The 20,032-nt window shown below is 46.0% G+C and overlaps 1 protein-coding gene and 1 long non-coding RNA gene across 29 annotated transcripts in view, besides 1 other annotated feature; one reads left to right on the top strand and one right to left on the bottom strand.

Moving 5' to 3' along the window:
• SLC2A9 (solute carrier family 2 member 9) overlaps positions 1-20,032 on the top strand; it is a 269,246-nt gene that overhangs the window by 34,582 nt on the left and 214,632 nt on the right. For 19 of the 26 annotated variants that reach the window (XM_011513858.2, XM_047415973.1, XM_011513856.4 and 16 more), the window contains 2 exons: positions 8,748-8,908; positions 19,896-20,020. In XM_011513858.2, the coding sequence (XP_011512160.1) occupies positions 8,748-8,908; positions 19,896-20,020 (286 nt within the window). Of the gene's footprint in view, positions 1-8,747; positions 8,909-12,432; positions 12,685-19,895; positions 20,021-20,032 lie in introns of those variants that run through there. The other 7 variants (XM_047415976.1, XM_047415977.1, XM_017008460.3 and 4 more) reach the window with 4 other exon arrangements.
• On the bottom strand, positions 790-17,566 carry SLC2A9-AS1 (SLC2A9 antisense RNA 1). 3 transcript variants are annotated; one of them, NR_183861.1, is made up of 5 exons: positions 17,545-17,566; positions 12,315-12,434; positions 11,164-11,328; positions 6,492-6,596; positions 790-1,561 (listed from the first exon to the last, which is right to left on the bottom strand). It is a non-coding gene; the product is annotated as an SLC2A9 antisense RNA 1 (long non-coding RNA). The 3 variants fall into 3 exon arrangements; NR_183864.1 differs by lacking the exon at positions 790-1,561 and adding an exon at positions 4,671-5,545; NR_183862.1 differs by lacking the exon at positions 11,164-11,328.
• Positions 1,395-1,554: an enhancer, noted in NCBI's record as "active region_21304". NCBI's record gives its function as "activates an Ori minimal core promoter by ATAC-STARR-seq in GM12878 lymphoblastoid cells {active_cell/tissue: GM12878}" and the evidence as "EXISTENCE:reporter gene assay evidence [ECO:0000049][PMID:35858748]".

Raw genomic sequence — 20,032 nt, 5'->3', positions numbered from 1 at the left:
CATGTAGCCTTTTATTCAGTTGTTTGCAGTTTAGGCTGTAGTTAGTACTAGCCGTAACATCAATGCTTCTGGAGCAACTCATAACAATTTTGATCAGACTCATCATCTCATACCAATTGCAGGAGCTTCCTAACAGGCCTAGCATCCTCTAGTCTAATCCCTGAAATGTCCTTCACACTGCACCTATGAAGAACATTCTTAACCACAAATTAGAGCTATCAATTCCGTGCTAAAACCCTCCAATGGCTCCCCAGTGCCCATGGAATTTTGTGTAGACTCCTGAGGCTGGCAGGCAAAGCCAGGTACAGGCAGCCTCCAACCTTCTACTGGGCCACCTTTCAACCCACTGCGTCTTTTATACCTCCTGTGTGGCAACCTGTGGTCTCCGGTTTCTGCACCTTCAAGAATTCTGTTAACTCTGCCTGTCGTCCTGTAACTGAGCCCACTCCGTCTGCCCTTCTTGCTTGCTTGACTTGGATTCCACAGCCTTTCTTGGCTTCCTATTGTCATGGCATTTTTATTCCATGTTATAATTGTATGTTTACTTGACTACTGTCTCCACTAGATCTTGAACTCCTTGAAGGCAAGAAACAGCAGAATTTGTATCTAGAAGAAAGGATGGGAAGCTGGGCCCCTGGTAGTGAGGAAGCAGACCTGTAAAGTCAGATAGAAAGATACAAGAATGTGCCTCGTGGCTGTTGGCTGAATGAAAAAGTAAAACAAGGAATCCCAAGTAAGATAGGAATGAGTGAGATGTCCCAAAGCAGGCCTAGAGGTTACCTACCACAGTGATCTTAAAGCAAATTTTTATTGCAGATTGTTTTCTTCAAACAGGATCGAGTTCTCCCAACACATAAAAGGAAAGCTCTAGGTAAAGGTTTATATCTCCAAGCCTTCATGACTTGGCCTAAATCTCTCCTCCTTCTTGAAGCCTCAGGTCACAGTGCAATTGTGATGGCATGGGCTCTGTAGTTACGTTGATTGTGTCAGCAGGGCAAACTTGCTGCTGTAATAAACAAGCCCTGTATCTCAGTGGCTTAACACAGTGAAAATTCCCATTTATATCACCTCATTTGAAGGAGATGAGCAGGAACACTCTGCTCCATGAAGCCATTCAGGGACCCAGGTTCCTTAAGTGAAGTGGTTCCACCATTCTCTAGGACTTTGGAGTCCTCTGCTAGATCCTCTGTGGCTGGCCAGCTGACAGGAGCAAGCGTGGAGCAGGCAAACACATTCTCAGCGTCTTGGTGGAGGTCACACATGTCCCTTGTACTTACACTCCTTGCTTGAGAAGTAGTCATATGGCCCCACCTAGATGCAAGGAACTGGGTAAGGTGGCCTGGCAGTATGTCCAGGAAGAGGAGAGCACTGTGAGGTCTAGCAGGCCCTGCAGTTCTACCATCTTTGGCATGGCTGTGGGATGTGTTTCTCCACTCCAGACTTCTCTGTTGTGAATGAAACTTCTCAGGATGGCTACAAGGGTTGAATGAGATGAGATATCCAAATGTCTGATACATACTTAGCAGTCAACCAATCTTCATTCCATGTCTCCTCTTCTCCCCTAAAACAGAGGTATTGATATCATCATCTTTATATTTTCTACACTTAGAGTTGGAAAAAAGTAATGGTTAAGAGATGGACTCTGGATCCCTGCTCACTGGGGCTGAGTCCTGGTGACATCGCATGCCAATGGTGTGAGCTTGGGAGGGCCCCTTGTGGCTCTGTGGCTCAGATACCACATCTGCCCAAAACAGAGGTAACAAATAGTACCCTTGTGGAGGGTAAGAAGTGAGTCAGTATGCCTCCAGTTCTTAGAATAGTACAGAGCATATTGTAACTATGATGTGTGGGTTACCTGTTTTATTATTATATGGTTACTGCCACACAGCAGAAACTCAAAACGAATTCTTATTTAAGCACCCATTCTGTATCATGCATGACCAGTCATGTTTTGCCATAGGTGAGGTTCACAAATCTCAAGCTTGGGGAATGTTAGTGCAGTGAATTCTCTGAGCAAACTTCATCACTGGCTTCAGCCTTGTGGTAACAAGGCCTTTCACCTGGGCTATTGCTGAATTCAGACCTGGAAGACAAACGTTCAGTTGCCAAAAGCATTGGGGCAAACAGCTTTCGGGGAACTTTTGAGAAAAGTGTTCCTGCAGGGGGCCTAGGCTATGCAGCAAGTCTTCTGGCCCCTCCAGAGTCTATAGAGGCTTCTGTCAGCCATTTCCCAACGTCACAGTAAGAAACTTCCACAGACTCCCAAAGCAATGCTTGGTAGTGGGTGAGCTGAAAACCCTCTCTTTTCCCACCAGGCTCCTGAATGCAGTGCAACACAAAGGAAAAGACAAAATTTCCTCCCAATCAGCATCCTTTTCATTTCCTTACATTAATTCCAGGAAGCCAGTCATTACTGAGGCCTTCCAGGGTGGGTATTAGCCTGACTCCTTGCAAGACAGCTGCAATTGCTTGAATTACTATAAGAGTGCCATAGGGAGCAAGTTCACGTGCAAGAGTGACCTTGCACATGTGGAGGTCTCCTGTTTATCAGGTGGCAGGAGGGGTGTCTGTGAAGTCCTGGATACTCATTACTTATGCCAGCTTCTCTGAAGGGTCTTTACTCTGTACATACTTGCAGTAGTTCCTGGGGCAGCCTCTACCCCCTGTCTTGCTGTGGCCCCTCTAATCCTTGCGCTTAGCAATCATCACTGTTTCTCCCACTAGACTCTGTGCTCCTTGGGGGTGGTTGCTGCTGTATTCACCACGGTCTGACGGAGTATCCAGCCCAAGCAAAGGCTTAGTTGATATAGTTGATATTTACTCTTTTTTTTTGTTTTAGATGGAGTCTCGCTCAGTCCCCCAGGCTGGAGTGCAGTGGCGCAATCTTGGCTCCCTGCAACCTCTGCCTCCAGGGTTCAAGATATTCCCCAGCCTCAGCCTCCAGAGTAGCTGGGACTAGAGGCGTGCACCACCACACCCAGCTAATTTTTCTATTTTTAGTAGAGATGGGGTTTCACCATGTTGGCCAGGCTAGTCTCAAACTCCTAACCTCAGGTGATCTGCCTGCCTTGGCCTCCCAAAGTGTTGGAATTACAGGCATGAGCCACTGCACCCAGCCAATATTTACTCTTAAATCAATAAATGCACCATTAGGTTTATCTGCTTAACTTTCACATCTTAATCATAAGTTCAAGAGTTCAGTTTGTGGAGCAGTTGTATTTGTGCCCTGAAGTTTGGCAGCTCCACCACAAAAGCCTCCCAGTGCATATAAGCCGTGACTGTGGGCAGGTTATATAACTCTCAGGCCCCTTGTTTGTAAATGAGGGCTTTTACCACTAGGGTTGTCGTGAGGGTGAAGTGAGATTATTTATGTGCTTTGCTAGAGTTTCTGTATTTCCATAGTTGTAAGGAACAACTAAAGCCAAAAAAGTTGTTGAAAAGAGTGGGTTGCTCACAGGATCAGTGGGAGGGCTGGAGAGCCAGGCCTGGAAGCTCTGTAGCTGGAGATACTACCCTAAATCACTCCCAGAGCTGGTCCTATGGGCTCCGCTGCAGCCACCACTGCCATTGACTGCACCGCTGGCACAGGACATTGCAGCTCCCCTGCTGCTGCCCCCAAACCCAATCCCACCAGAGCTCCCTCTGCTGCTGGAGAATCCTCCTCAGCCCCATGTCTTAGCCCCAGTAACACCTTGATCAAAGTTCCAGCATCTGATTGGCTGAGCCTTGGTCACATGTCCACTTCCAGCTGCAGAGGATGCTGGGAGAGCGGGTGTCTGGCATGTTTGGCTTCTGTAGTTATGTGTCCTTTGTTTCCCCACTCAGGATTCTGAGGCAGGAAAGTCTCCCAGGCGGGAAGAGGGCTTCTGATGCTGGGGAGCCTAAAAGGCAGATAAATGTCCAATAGAGGACATAAAGCCTTGACATTGACTAAATGGTCAATGTCAGGTAAATGTCCAGCCACTAAGAAAGAACATAGTGGCCATTCTGAAGGCTGCTGGTAGCACCCTGATGAAGGCTCAGGAATCAGTGTCCTGGTAGCCCCAGTGAGGGGATGGCAGTTTGGACCGGTTGAGTGGTGGAATGGTGGAAGTGGTGAGAAGCCTTTTGGAAGCTAGGCAATATATTACTTTTCTAGAGCTGCTGTAACAAAGTACCACGGACTGAGTGACTGAAAGAACTGAAATGTGTTATTCCATAGTTCTAGAGGTCAGAAGTCCAAGATCAAGGTGTTGGCAGAGTGGATTCCTTCTGAGGGCTTTGAAGGAAGGCTCAGTTCCAGCCTTCTCTCTCTGGCTCACAGATGGCCATCTTCTCCCCATGCCTGTTTACATCATCTTCCTCCTGTGCCTGTCTATCTCCACATTTCCCCTTTTTATCAGGGTACCAGTCACGTTGGATTAGGGCCCACTCTAGTGACCTCATTTTAATGTTATTTGCTTTGTAAAGATTGTCTCCAAATAAGGTCACATTCTGAGGTACTAGGGGTTAGGACTTCAACATATGAAGTTTGGAGGGGAACAAAATTCACTCTGTACCCGTGTCTGTCTTTGTGTCCTCTTTCTATAAAGGACACCAGTCATATTGGAGTAGAGTGGGCCTTACTCCAATATGACCTCTTCTTAATTAATTATATCTGCAATGACCACATTTCAAATAAGGACCCATTCTGAGGTTTGGGGAGTTAGGACTTTAGTATATAAATCTGGAGGTGTGAGGTTAGATACAATTCAACCCTAACAGTCAGGGATGAGTGAGGGTGGATTAGTTGAGGAGATTGGATCAAGGGCAGGAGTTAAGAATGACTTCGTGGTTTTTGGCTGAGCAACTGGAGAATGGTGGTCCCATTCACTCACGTAGGGAGGAACAGATAAAGGAAAGGAATTCAGGGGCAGAGGTACAGGCTGATGGGTCCCATTCCACACTGGTTTAGTAAGGGATCTGTGCCCCAACTATGTCCAGCAGGACATAAAGAGAAGTTTGTTAGAAGCTTCCGGGAAAGTTCCTCTTAGCACCAAGAGACCTATGAGAGGCCAAGCTTACTCTCTCCAGTCATGCATGAATAGAAAAGCATGTAGCCAAAACTGCTACTAGGAGCCATCCTGCAATTGTGAGTGCATGCTGTCTTAGGATGAGGTCAAAATTATGGAAAGCAGAGTGAAGCAACCAGATGGCACCTGGATTCTTGGCCATTACTGAGTCACCAGATGGGCCATCCTTGAAGCTCACCACTCCTGTAAATTTGCATTTCTGTAGGTGTCCTCATTGTTCAGCTATTTTGAGTTGAGGTTTCCTGTTACTTGCAGCCAAGAGCATCCTTAAATGATACAATGCATTATCAGCTCCAGTGGATGGAAGATCTTTGAGATCCAGGGTTATGTTCCATTTATCTCTGTGTCTAGCTCAGGGCCCAGTACTCAGCACATGTTTGTTGAATGAGTCAGTGGATGACGTAGATCAGTATCTTGTGCACTGAGGTCTGGAAACTTCATCATCGATAGAAATAGCTGTAGCTATTGATAATATATTCTATCCTCACTCCGTGCTATGAGTAAGATAGTTGTGAATCCAGAAAGAAAGAGAAAACAGAAAGAAGATAAATACCTCGCAAGCAGAGGGTGTCTCCCCTCCTCACCTCATTTCCTTCCATCAGACCATTTGCTTATGTCTGAAATCTGGGAGTTTTCTGTGATCTTCTTTCACTTTCTGCAACACCATCTGTTCTCAAACCTGGAGCCAATCACCCAGGAAGTCCTACCTATTCTACTCTCAAAATATATCTTAAATCCATCCACTTCTGTCCATTTCCATTGCTTAGTGAAGTCCACCATGATCTTTGGACCACTGCAGTGCCCCCCAAGTGTGCCTGGCTTCCTGTCTAGCTCCTCTTTCATCCACTTGCCAGAGGGATCCTCTGAAAATGCAAGCCACACCATGTCCTCCCCCTGCCAAAAACCCTCCAATACTTTCCCACTTCATCTAGAGTAGAATCCAAGTAAAAACCAGGCTAACTTCCATGACCTATCAGGCCCACATGACCTGCCCTTTCTTGCCCCTCCAACTTCATCCAGCCCACTCCTTCCCTTTCTGGTCCTGTTCCTCCCCTATTGGCCTCCTTGCAATTCCATGGCCACCCAAGCTTTCTTCTGTCCTGCTGTCTTGGCATAATTCTCCCTCTGCCTGGAACACTTTCCTACCATTTTTCTTTTCCATGTTAAATGGCAGCATGTATTATGCATACAAAAGAGTATATAAAATACACACATATGCATTATGCTTGTGTGCCCGTACACACACACACACACTTTAAAGACTGAGTATAAATCTAACACTCATGTCACAATCCAGGTTAAGAATAAAAGGTCTGGGGAGGCTGCAGCGGGAGGATCGCATGAGCCCAGGAGTTTGAGACCAGCCTTGGGGAACATGGCGAGACCTCCTTTGTACAAGAAACAAACAAAAAAAATTTATCCAGGCATAGTGGCACATACCTGTAGTCGTCTGTCTCAGCTACTCGGGAGGCTGAAGTACCAGGACCTCCTGACCCCAGGGGATCAAATCTGCAGTGAGCTGTGATCATGCCACTGCACTCCAGCCTGAAAAAAAAAAAAAGAAGGACCTACCAAGTGTCCCTCCCCAGTTATTTCTTCTGTCATCCCCCGAGATGACCCCTGACCTGACATTTGAAATAATTCTTTCTTTGTAGTTTTACCGTCTATATATAATTCTCCAAAAAATTTTAATTTGGCATACTTTTGGGTTTTACACATGGAATCAGACTGTGTATGTTTTGTTTTTGGCTGCTTTTGGTTGGTGTTATTTTTGCCAGGTTTTCCCATGTGTGTTTGGACAGAGCTGTATTCATTCATGTTTGTGGCTGTGATGTTTCATATGATGATGATTCTGCAATTTGTTTATTCCTGCTATCGACCATGGGCACCTGGGCTGTTTCTCGTCTGGAGTTATTATGTGCAATGCTGCCATGGACATCTGAGTACATATATCCTAGGGCTCCCCAGAAACAGTTTTTCAGGGGAGTTTTCTAGAAGTAGATTTGCTGAGTTGTAGGCTACAGGCATCTTCCATTTGACTAGCTGATGCCAAAGCTGTTTTCCAAGATGGCTGTACAAGTCAAACTCCTACCAGCAGACAACACACTGCTTGTCACTCCTCAGTCTTACCAGATCTTTTAATTTTTAGTCTATGTGGGATTGTGTAAGCTCCATTCAAGTACTGGCCACTGCTTCAAGCTCTCATTTGACCCTCACAACAGCCCTGAGAGGTCAATGTCATCATTCCCATTTTGCAGATAAGAAAACCAAGGTTCAGCTGATTTAAATCATTACCAAGTTGTGCTGGGATTTGAGCCCAGGTCTGAGCGACCTGAACCTAAGCTTTTTCTGCAGTGTCATATACTGGCTCAGCTGAGGTTTGCGGGCTCACGTTGGGTAGCAACAGGGAACTCTAAGTACCTTGGGGACTGAACTCTGTTTGGAGCTTAGTGCCATGGACCTCAGTCTTTGGTGTACATCAGAATCACCTAGTCCCTGTCCCAAACACACTGAATCAGAATTGGCAGCGATGAGACTCTAGTGAATGTGAAGTTGTATTTCCTTGTGGTCTCATTTCTCTGTTGACTAATGATGTCAGGCATTCTGTCATTAGCATACCAGTCATTTGTATTTTCTCTGGAGTCTGTTCAAATTTTTGCTCATTTTTAATTGTATCATTTGCCTCCTTTTTGACATGTTAGAGTTCTTTGTATATCGTAGATAGGATTTATTTGTAGTTCTATGTGTTGCAAATATGTTATCTCAGTCTATGGGTTGTCTTTTCATTTCTGAATGACGTCTTTGGAAGAGCAGAAGATGTTAATCTTGATTATATTCAAATGAGCATTTTTTTTTCTTTTATGGCTAGTTTTTTTGTGTGTGTTGCATTTTTGCCTATTTTTTTTTTGTTAGGTATGTGCCCCCCCACTTTTCTTTTGAGACAGGGTGTCACTCTGTCACCCAGGCTGGAGTGCAATGGCGCAATCTTGGCTCACTGCAACCTCCGTCTCCTGGGTCCAAGAGATTCTCATGCCTCAGCCTCCTGAGTAGCTGGGATTACAGGTGCATGCCACCACACCTGGCAAATTTTTGTATTTTTAGTAGAGACAGGGTTTCACCATCTTGGCCAGACTGATCTCGAACTCCTGGCCTCAAGTGACCCACCCATCTCAGCCTCCCAGAGTGCTGGGATTACAGGTGTGGGCCTCTGCGCCCACCCGGTATGTGCCCTTTAACACACCTCCACAGCAATGCTGCGGTGCACTAGAATTGGAGAAGCCCAGCTATGAAGCTCATCATAAGCTTGGGGTCAGATCTGAGTCCAGCTCCCAGGTTTAGCACTTACCTAGCAAGTCACTTTGTCTCCCTGAGCCTCAGTTTCCCTATCTCCAAAATGAGGTAAAAAGAGGAAACATTTTGTTACAAAAAAAGTACCTTGGGATAGGCAAAGATGCAAGAAACACAAAAAAACTAGCCATAAAAGAAAAAAAATGCTCATTTGAATATAATAAAGATTAACATCTTCTGCTCTTCCCAAAATTTGTTAGAAGAGGCCAATGAGATAAAGCTCAAACAAATTAGCAAAGTGCTATGCATGAAAATGCTCTGTACAAGCTGTTTTGTTTTGTACACTGGCTTGCTTCAAGCAGCAGGAGAGAACAGAAGGAAATAACATGGTTTGTTGTTTATTTTCAGTACATCAAGGCCTTTTACAATGAGTCATGGGAAAGAAGGCATGGACGTCCAATAGACCCAGACACTCTGACTTTGCTCTGGTCTGTGACTGTGTCCATATTCGCCATCGGTGGACTTGTGGGGACGTTAATTGTGAAGATGATTGGAAAGGTTCTTGGGAGGTCAGTAGGAGGCTGTCTCTATCTGGGGGTGCCCTCCATGTTCATAATATATCTGTGTCATTGTCAGGGTCCTGACAGGCAACAGAACTCCACTCAGGCAGTTCAACTGGAGAGATTCAAATGCCCAAAGGGGAAAGGGGAAGAAATCAGAGACCAAGGTCCAAAGATAACTGAAGCCATGGACTGCAGGCTGATGAGCAGCAGCAGAAGCGTATAGGGACTGGGCTGTGTCAGAGCCACAGCACCCACATGGGGGAGGAGCAGGGAAGAAATGCCCTGACCCCTCCCTCCTCCCACCCTCCATCCTGCTGCAGAGGTGCACACTGGTCACACCCATGTGAAAGCCAGTAAACCAGGAAGTCATGTTGCCATCCAGGAGATGCTCCCGGGGCATAGAGCAGAGCAGGGAGGGGAGGGGAATTGATCTGGGTGTTGGGGCAAATGGAAAACACAGTGCAGTGCCTTGGAAATTGTTCCACGTAAGTACATACAGATCTGCTTTTCCAGAAAATTGACTGCTTAGACAGTCTTCCACTATATGGCTGTCTCATCATTTATTTAGCCACACTCCCTGACTGAGAGACATTTAGGTCATTTCAGATCATTTACATTACAAATAAGGAAGCAGTGAGAATCAAAAACTTCATATCAGCCTTTCCTACCCAGGCCCTCTCCAATCAGCTCACTTGACCTTGTGAGCCTCATTCCTCACTTATTTTAGACAGGAATCCTTCTCTCAGAGCAGATTGACTTATCAATGAATCCCCACAAACAATGCTTTCTCTGTATTCTTGTTCATAACAACAGCATCCTGGGAGCCAGTGAGCAGTGTGTGGAAAGAGTAGAGCTTCTCCAAGTGATGGAGGAGTCGTCACATCAATCTGATGGGGCCAGAACATTCGTGTCTTAACTTGAATCATGTGTCTTCCACTTACTAGCTGTGTGCCCTTGGCCAAATCATTTAATTTATTTGAGCCTCAATTTTCTTATCTGTAAAATAGGGATGATAGTTTCTACCTGCAGGGAATGTTACAAGAGTTAGACCAAATGAATGGAAGGAGAATGGCCATGAGTTGTAGCTGAATAAATAAAAATTCTTGTCATTGACCACATTATTTGGCATTTCCCTCATCATCACCTTGACATCACTACCTAGTAAGTACTCGACTAACCTCCTTATTGCATTGACGTGAGTTGAAGAGGAGATTTATCAGACTCCAGAAAATCTCCTCAGACCATGGGATTACAGAAACCCGATTAAGAAGGAGCCCATTTCACAATCTGAAATGACCGAATCCTTTACATTCTTCCTCACAGCCCAACAAGGAGAAAACTAGAGTTGACGATGTTTCAAAGCAAGATTTCTAAAAGATGGGACAGGAAGCCACCCTGAAAACATCCAAGTGGTGCTTATGAGGGTCTGTGATACCTGTGAGGTAGGGGAGGTGCTGACATTTTCCTTGTCCCCAAGCCCACTTTCAGAGCAGTAATTAATGGGAATTCAGGGCCTGGAAATACAACTACTGCATGATGTAGTGAGAGATGCCATTGTCTGAGGTCCTTCAAGGTTCCAGCCACTCACACATTCTCTTGTTTAATTTTCTATCTGCTGTGGGGTCTGTAGATGGGGAATGGGAGGTTAGAGAGGTGAGGGCATCTGCACAAGCTTAGCTAGCTTGCACTGTGGCTGAGCTTAGGCTGGAATCATGATCTTTCCACTATGCCAAGCAGATCTTAGTTAGGGGCCAATTCCCAATGCTGGGAATGTACTGTAAAACCATGACTGTTTGACAACAGGCTGGCACTCAGATTGGCATCACTGGCCAGGGTCCCTGAGGCATGGTCACTAAGCCTCCTGCCCAAGCCAGACCCTGCCCATGGTCCTCTTGCTTGTCCTAGTGGGATGGAGTCACTCCCCATGCCCCAGGATCTGGCCTGTGATGTCTCCTTGCTTTATACCTGACCGTGGCATTTATACCCCAAGGCTGCTCCTCAAGGAGGCTCTGAACCCATGCAGATGGAATAGGAAAAGGAACACTAGAATCGGGTCAGAATGCCGTGGCTCAGCAAGTCCTGACTCTGCTGTGTATCAGGTGTGTTACAAGGGACTTTGACACCTCACTTCTCAGCCAGCATTATTCTTACCTATAAAATGAGGGCAATGAAAGTAGCTTTACTACCCTCACTGGCATGGCAACAAAAAAAAAAAAAAAAAAGGAAAAGGAAAGCAAAAGAGAAAACAACTTTGAAAATACCTTCAATCTCTAAGTAATGGAGGAGTCATAAAGAAGTGAGGATGCAGAAAAAGATCAGATCAAAGGATGTGTTGGTTGTTATGCCCCAAGCAGCTGCCAGTTTCCTTTTCATCATTATGAGAGTAAAAGTTGATTTGGGCTGAAGTTTCAGCTTGAAGAGCAACTCTGCTGGGGAGAAAAGGAGCAAAAATTGAAAAAGAAAGCTACCATCTATTGACCTCCTGCCTTGTCCTTGACATCCCATATATCATTTACTTCTTAAAACTCCATGTTTGCATCATTACCTGCACTTTTCAAATGATGAGTCCAAGACCCAGTGGTCAATTGGACCAAGGTTTCAAAATGGAGTTGAACTGAAGTTCAGATCTGCATGTGTTTGACCACAGGCCAACACTCTTCCTGTGACATGATGCTATTTGAAACGCCTTCCTGATGCTCTGTTATTCCTCTCCCATGGGGATTCTCAGGGAGGGAGAGGAAACTGCAATGGCAGCCTGGGAGGCCCAGTGGAAGGTGCTCAAAGGTATAGCTGGGGGAGACATTCCAGGGAAGTGGGGAAGAGTTCCGATGGGGCTGGTCACTGGCTGCTCCAGCAGTGGGGCTGTTCCTAGCTAGGGAATGTTGAGCTCGTTTGTGATTTCGGTGACAAAGGAGGGCAGGGAAGCAAAGGGGGCCAGGAAGAGTCTCTGGAGATGGGCCATACCACATGACCTGGGCCTCACACAGATGCAGGTTCCTCACCTCTTGGAGTCTCTGGCTGAGGGAATTCTCAGCGATCAAGAATTCTGGTTGAAGCTCAGTGACCCATTTAGCATCCTCTGTCCTCTGCTTGCATGACCATAGTGACAGGACCCTCCTTCCCTCATGAGACAGGACAGTGACTATGTTTGGTGTACAAACACTAGCTACGGGCCCAGCTTCAAGTCTGGGCTCCGATACACACAGCTATGTGTTTCTTAAACTCTTTCATCTTTACTTAGTTCACGATGACATGAAGATAAAGAATGGCCATGTCAGAGGGTTGTTGTGAAGATTAAATGAAATGGTGGATGTGAAGTGTTCATCCCTACAATTGACCCAGACTCTTCGCCCAGCCTTTGTTCACTAGTGTCATCATCATCAACATCATCATCATCTTCACCATCACCAACCTCATTGGCTTTATTTGAGACGGGTCATTCCATCACTTGACAGAGTCAATTGTGCATCTGTTCTTTCAATTGCACTGAAATTATTCTTCTTACACATATCATTGGATCTGGTTCTTCCGTCTGGAGCAAAGCAGAAAAAACATATAAGAAACTATAGGAAAACACACATGGGCTTTGAAATCTGATCCTGGGCCAGACTCTTGGACAAGCCACGTAACCATATTCATCTATCCAAACAAACATTTTTGAGCACCTACAAGGAGTAAGGTACTGTTTTTGGCACTGGGGCTTCAGTGAACAAGAAAGACACAACATCTGGGGCTTAAGGTGATGCTTGGGCAAAGGAGGCAGCCCCTGAGTAATTCATTATGTAAGTCTTTATGATTCTGAGCAGTGCTGTGCATGGATGGTAGAGATACAAGAGGCAGCTGCTATGCCCTTTAATTTTTAAATCTGTAAAGTGCAGATAAACAAACCCACCTGAGGGAGCAGCTATGAGGGTGGAACGAGATCAAATTTACAGTGTCTCATGTCACTAAGGAGGCTTTTTGAATGCCTGTGACAGGAACCCAAAGCAAACTGGCTGAAGCCCAAAAGGGAATTACTTGGCTCACAATAACTAAAATATAACTTGGTTGAATCCAGTGGCTCAGATGATAGCTTTTAAAAAATCCAAATCTGTCTCCACCTCTCAGCTCACCTTGCTTTGTGTTGGCTCCATTGTCAGGCAATCTCTCCCATGGAGGTATAAGATGGGCCCAGCTTGGTGGAAATTCTCCTTCCGATAGTTGTGATTAAAGTCCCAGGCATGAATCTCTTTGACTTGAGCGAGGTTGCATGCGTTCAAGGGTTCTCAACCAGAGGGCAATGTTGCCTCATCAGGGGACATTTGACAATGCCAGGAGATGTTTCTGGTTTTCATAACTCAAGGGTGCTACTAGCATCTAGGAGAAGCCAGGGATGCCTCTAAATATCCTACAATGCACGGGACAACCCCCACAGCAAAGAATTTTCCAGTTCCAAATGTGAATAGTGCCAAGGTTAGAAAATCCTGGCAAATAACATTCTAACACTCTGGATTAAGTGCTTTTAAAAAAGCACATCTTAAATGCCTTGAGAATGATGAGTGATTTTATGTTGACTGGCCAGGCCTGTACCACGCATCCACTCCTGAAGCCATGGTTAGGTGGAGACAGGCAGGAAGGTTTCTTGGTGGAAATTTGAGGAACTCCTCCCAGAAGAAGGATGGAGGTTCGGTGAGCACAAACAACAGGCATCCCATACATCACTCCAGGGAAATAGCAGGTTGTCAAAAGGACTATTTTTGCTTTCATCATTTTCTACTTCAACCCTTTAAAAGGCATCTGTATTTTATAGTAGTAGAAAATAACTGTGTCTCTCTAGGTGCCTGCTGGAGGAGCCTTCAGTGTATGTGGCAAGCATGCATTGGTTAGCCCAGGCTGCCATATCAGAATACCACAGATGGAGTGGCTTCAGCAAACAGACATTCATTTTCTCACAGTTCTGGAGGCTGGAAGGCCAAGATCAAAGTGTCGGCAGGTCTTTTCCTCCCGAGGCTTCTCTCCATGGCTTGCAGATGGCTGCTTTCTCGCTGTGTGCTCCCTGTGTGTGTGCATCCCTGGTGTCCCTTCCTCTTCTTACAAGGACACCAATCATCCCACATTAGGGCCGCTTCCTTGTGACCTCATTTTAGTTTAATTATCTCTTTAAAGGCCCTGTCCCCAAATGCAGTCACATTAGGGGTTAGGGCTTTAACAGGTGAGCCTTAAAAAAATCCAAATCTCTCTCTTTCTCCACCTCTCAGCTCAGCTTGTTTTTTGTTGGCTTCATTGTCAGGCAGTTTCTTCTGTGGAGGTGCAAGATGGCCCCAGCTTGATGGAAATTCTCCTTCCAATCATTGTAGTTAAAGTCCCAGGCATGAATCTCCTTGGCCCGAGCGAGGTTACATGCGTTCAAGGGTTCTCAACCAGGGGGCAGGAACATAGTTTAGTCCATGACTGAGCAACACACCGTGCTGCTGACAACCTCTTCTTTCAGGCTGGAATTGTCTCAGAAAGTCAATTGCCCAGAAGCAGAGCCTGAGGCAGGGATTGGGATGCACACATGGCTTGTGGAGGAAGGGCTCTTCAGGAGTAATCTTTAAGGTGGGGAAAGCAGAAAGCAGCAGGGGAAGGAGCCAGGCAAGGCTGCACTCCCTGGTCAAGTTTAGCCTCACTTGGGGGAGCTCTGGGGCATAATCACACCACAGAGTCACCCAACTTGAAGTAAGGGGGCTGCATCCACCCCTACCACTCATCTGTCACTCGCTGCAGGCAGCACTGGGAAAGGGGGATCCACCTTCAGAGCCAATGTCAATCTTCTGGAGAAGAGTCAACCCTGAGCCTTTAGAAGCCAGCATTCATTGAGCTGGGGGAATCCCTGAGGGGATAGGGAGATAACCAGCCAGCCAGGAAACCTGATCCTCAACCCTGCTTCTCCCAGCCTTAGAAGACTTGACTAGTCTTCTAAGCATAGTGAGAATGGCAAGAACTCTGGAAGAAGGAAACTTGGGTTCATGATGGGACATAAGGAGAAAGCCTGGGCATGGTAGATAAGACCAGAAGACTTCGGGACGGCAGGGTTCCAAAGTGTAAAACAAAGAGTCAACACATCCAAAACAAGAGGCTTCAATGGTACAAGCTGTCCCTGCATCACTGGTTTGTTTTATTATGGACACAACCCCTTTGGTATTACAGACGCATGAGCCGGGAAAGCAGGGTTAGAAATCATAAGAAATCTTCAACCCCATCCCCCACTGCCTAGGACATATCTACCAGAACTAAATATTGGCCTTCTCTGAGCTCACACAGGACTTTCAGTTCCCTGTGTTACGTCACTTGGCATTTTGGGTTGTACTCATTTCATTATGTTCCCGTCTCTTCCCTGATAAGGGAGCCCTTCAACGTAAGAACCATATGTATTTATGGCCCCTAGCACCCAACACAGCAGCTTGTACACAGCAGGCAAGCAGTAGACATTTGTTGGATAAATGGAAGGATGGGTGGAAAATGCTCGATGCTTGAATTTTTCTATCACATCTCCCCAGTGTGGCCATCCTTGCTTGCATCTAAGCATCCTTGTATGCTTGCACACTTTCCGTTCCCTCATCCGATTATTTACTCACCACATATCTGTTGAGTACTTTCTATGTGCCAAGCACTCAGGCATGAGCAAAGCTGCCAAAGTCCCTGTCCTCCTGAAGCATGCAGCCAAGCGGGGAGCACAGCCAAGTAACAAGCATGCAGACTGTGCCATTCGGCCTGTGACAAGGACCAATGTAGAAAACAGAGCAGCTCAAGGAGGTCAGAAGATGCTGGGGAGGGTGAAGAGCTCACCACTTTGTTCAGAGGATTCTCTAAAATGGTGACTTGTGCAGGGAGCACTGAAGGAAGCAAGGGAGTGAGCACGCTCATCCCTGGGAAATAGCTCTCCAAGCAGAGGAGGCAGCAGGTGCAAAAGCCCAGGGGCAAGAAGAGGCTCCACTTCTTTGAAGATGAGAGTGGAGGTCAGTGTAGAGATAATCATAGGAAGCTAGATGGGATATTTGGAGTCAGATCCTGAGGACTTTGCAGGCGAGGGTTGAGACTCTTCCTCTGAGCAAAATGGGAAGTCAGTGGAACGTTTTAAGAACTGATCTGACTTGCATTTGGAAAGGTGTGCTGTTATCAGGGGGTCTCAGAGCCTGGTTGGGAGAACCTTGCAATAGCGCAGGTGAGAGAGGACATGGTTTGCACCAGGGTTGGAAAACAAGGGAAGGCAGGTGTCTGGGCACAGATGCAGGTGCAGAAATACAAGCAGAGGGCATGTGGGAAGGGTCTCTTGGGATTGCCTCTGTGTTCTCAGTGAAAAAGAAAGCATGGTCATCAGCTGAGAATGATAAAAAGGGGATTTGAAGAGAGAGAGAAAACATATGAAATAGTCCTCTAGGAGAGAAGGGTGTTGGATGGACCAGGAATCTGTAGACTCAGTGCAGGGGAGCCTTAACCCTTCTTGAGGTTGGTGGTCATGAATTTCAGGTGAGAAAGGACAACACAGCCATATGTTTTTCTCCAGCCAAGCTGAGCTTTGTAGATGCCCAGTAGACAGAGATTTAACCAGCTGGGGTTTTGCCAGGCATATGTAATGAAAGGGGGTGGATGGGCATATAAATATTTAAAGGGATGAGCCAAGGAATTCAAGCTGGGTATGCAGGAACGGATGAACACGAGGAGGGTGAGGGATGTGGAAACAAGGCATGATCTTGGCTTATAGGCCCAGTCAGGCTGAAGATTTACTGGAAAGGTCTGTGGAGAGATACATTATTTCCATAGGTTCTCTGGTCTACTAGGGTTTAATGAAAAGTACTTTCCAAATTCAAACTGAAATAGAATTCCCTATGTCTTCCCCCAATCCGTCCTGGTGCTCTGCACCAAGTTAAAGCATGGCATGAAGGAAGGTGGCTCTCCTGCTTTCTCTGACCTCTTGTCCAGGCGAAATGTCTCCAGCCCCTTTGACACTTCTGAAGGGACATGCCCTCCAATCTCCTCATCACCCTACCATGCTTCCTTGTATTTGGTCTTTTTTTCCCCTTGAGAGCTGATGACTTTCTGGGTTTCATGGGGAAGATTCTACACTATTGGAGAAGCTAAAAACAATGAATCAGGCATCCTAGGTGGAGTTCTGGGGACACTGGAGTTCTGCTTTCAGAATTGATCTCCCTTGTTTATGTTGCTGTTCATCCACAGGAAACAAATGGAAACAATGATTAAAGTCCTGCTCTGAAGCCCAGTGAGTCAGCTTTGCAAAGGATTTGCACACATTTCCATCCTCACTGCAATGCTGTCAGGCTGAGGGTTATTTTGGGAAGGAATATATTAATATGATAAACTTGCCCAGAGAGTGTGCACTCCCGTTTGCACATGTTTCAAGTCAGACTTTCATATAATTTTAACATTCTCACAAACCTTTCATGCAGTTTTAAAATTAGCACAAAATACACCATCATGTCCAAAGTAAGGGTTCAGACCAAAGCTTTTGGAGGCATCCTTGGCTCCTCTATGCCTCTCCACCTCTGTCCAGTCCATCAGCAAATCCCACCAACTCACTCTTCAAAATATGCTAGGATCTGACCACTTCTCACTAAGTGCACTGCTCCCAGCCTGGTCCAAATCATTACCAGTGGTTGACTCACCTGTTGTGGTAGCTCCCCAGCTGGTCTCCCTGCTTTCACACTTGTCCCCTGCAGTCCAGGAGCAACAGAGAAGACAAGATGTAGTGATCTTGTTCAAGTATTAGCCGGTGTCATTCCTCTCCTTGGAATCTCCCAGTGGCTGCTATCTCCCCCAGGGGGGAAACGCTAGTTCTTATGGTGGCATAGAAGACTCTCTGAGTTCTTCTTTTCTCTTCTCAACTTTCACTTTCTACTGCTTGCTCCCTGGCTCCCTACTGCCTCCAGCCAGGCTGGCCTCACTGATGTTTCTTTCTTTCTTTTTCTTTTCTTTTTTTTTCAAGACGGAGTCTCGCTCTGTCACCCAGGTTGGAGTGCGGTGGCATGATCTTGGCTCACTGCAATCTCTGCCTCCTGGGTTCAAGCAGTTCTCCTGCCCCAGTCTCCCGAGAGGCTGGTTTAGAGAAAAAAACTTATATTTTTATATAATGAGTATAATAGCATCTGCCATAACTGAGTCCCATAATTTATGACAAGAGGCAATGTTAGCTGGTGGGAAGAGCGCAAGTTCTAAGATCAGAGACCCACTGGGGCTCTATTGGGCAAAATAATTTTTTAACCACAATTTACAAAACAATTTAATATCTGTTAACTCATTGAGTCTATAGGAAAAAAAATAAGCCGTAAAGGGCTAAGATGTTTCCCCAACTCCTTGACTCACTGACTATATGACCTAAAACAAGTTTCTAGGCCGGACGCAGTGGCTCACGCCTGTAATCCCAGCACTTTGGGAGGCTGAGGCAGGCAGATCACCTGAGGTCAGAAGTTTGAGACCATCCTGGCCAACATGGTGAAACCCCGTCTCTACTAAAAATACAAAAATTAGCTGGGTGTGGTGGTGCATGCCTGTAATCCCAGCTACCCAGGAAGCTGAGGGAGGAGAATCACTTGAACCTGGGAAGTGGAAACTGCAGTGAGCAGAGATTGTGCCAATCCACTCCAGCCTGGGTGATAGAGCAAGACTCTGTCTCAAAAATAAAAATTAAAAATAAAACAAGTTTCTAGCTTGCCAGCAACCTAGTTAACTTGTTTATAAAATAGAGATTATAAGAGTACCTATCTCTTTGGGTCATTCTGAGGATTAAATGAGCTACTAATGCAAAGTACTTAAAGCAGGGTCTATCCTATAGCAAGAGTTCAATAAATGTGGGCTTTTAGGATCATTTTGCAAAAGTGAGGAAAAGAAAACACAGAGAAATGAAGTTCAAAGTCTCCTAGCTCCTGAAGGATAGAGCTGGTGCAGGAATCCAGGTCCCCAGGCCTCCAAACAAGTCAGGTATTTGAACCATGAGGTCTTAGGCATGTGTTTATAAAAGTGATGGCAGTCCTGACACAGAGCTGTTAATAATAATTATTGCCATGGAAATTTCCCTAATCTTGTTTGAGAGGATTAGTCCAGCCATTCACTTAGTACTGTAGTTCATCAAATCTAAGATGCCATTGGGTCTGAGGAGTATTGTTATTTTATGAGCCACTGGAAAGGAAAGGAAATAAGGAAGAAAGGGAGGGAGGGAGGGAAGGAGCCAACAAAAGTTGTAGAACGCTATGCTGGTTGTCAAGCTGTTGTCTCCTAGCTCCACACTTACCCTTCTGGGCTCTCTCTCTCTGATGCTGGGGCTGGGGCCTGCACCCCCATTTGTCCTTTGCCAATAGGGGCACTAGAGGAGAGAGAAAAGACTAGCTTTTTCATGTTTGTCTGAGTTTCCTGCCAGTCCCAGTGATGACATTGGCAGTTGATTCCAGCTTCCAACTTTTGTCCATTTCCAGAACCAGAATCATATTGCTCCTCAGAGGAAACAGTCCAGTGGACAGTGCCCACTCTCAAAGGTCTTCGGGGCCCTCCTCCATGCCCCTGAGGTGTCAGCACCACATGGGAAACACCCCTTCTTCAGAGGTCTTCCTTTTTGACATCTCGGTTCTTCAATATCCACTTAACCAATTCCCTATGTTAAATTCTCTCCATTAAAATACCTAGAGTGGTTTCCATTTTCCTGCCTGGACCCTGACTCACGAATTGTAAGATGACCACTGACTTCAGAAATGTTAAATGATAGTCTTAGAATTAAAGCAATAAAATACTACCACAGAGAATTCATAGATGTCAAGGCTGATGGTGCCTTTGTAAGTGACCTAGTAGACCCCAGGGCTGAACCCAGTCACACAGCCAGAGGTGGCAAGGCCAGTGCTCCCTGCACTGTGCCTGAGTCTTGCTCTACTCACCCTTCAGAAGGGCCTGGCTCCTGCTCCTGGGATGGACAGTTCAGTGACATGCCTCATGGTTAGACATCTTCATCAAATCTTTCCTTTCTTTCCAGGAAGCACACTTTGCTGGCCAATAATGGGTTTGCAATTTCTGCTGCATTGCTGATGGCCTGCTCGCTCCAGGCAGGAGCCTTTGAAATGCTCATCGTGGGACGCTTCATCATGGGCATAGATGGAGGTGAGAGTTCAC

This window comes from Homo sapiens, chromosome 4, assembly GCF_000001405.40.
Source record: "Homo sapiens chromosome 4, GRCh38.p14 Primary Assembly".
Lineage (NCBI taxonomy): Eukaryota > Metazoa > Chordata > Mammalia > Primates > Hominidae > Homo > Homo sapiens.
The sequence above is the reverse complement of the archived record's forward strand: the minus strand, read 5'-3'. Positions and strand labels throughout refer to the sequence as shown.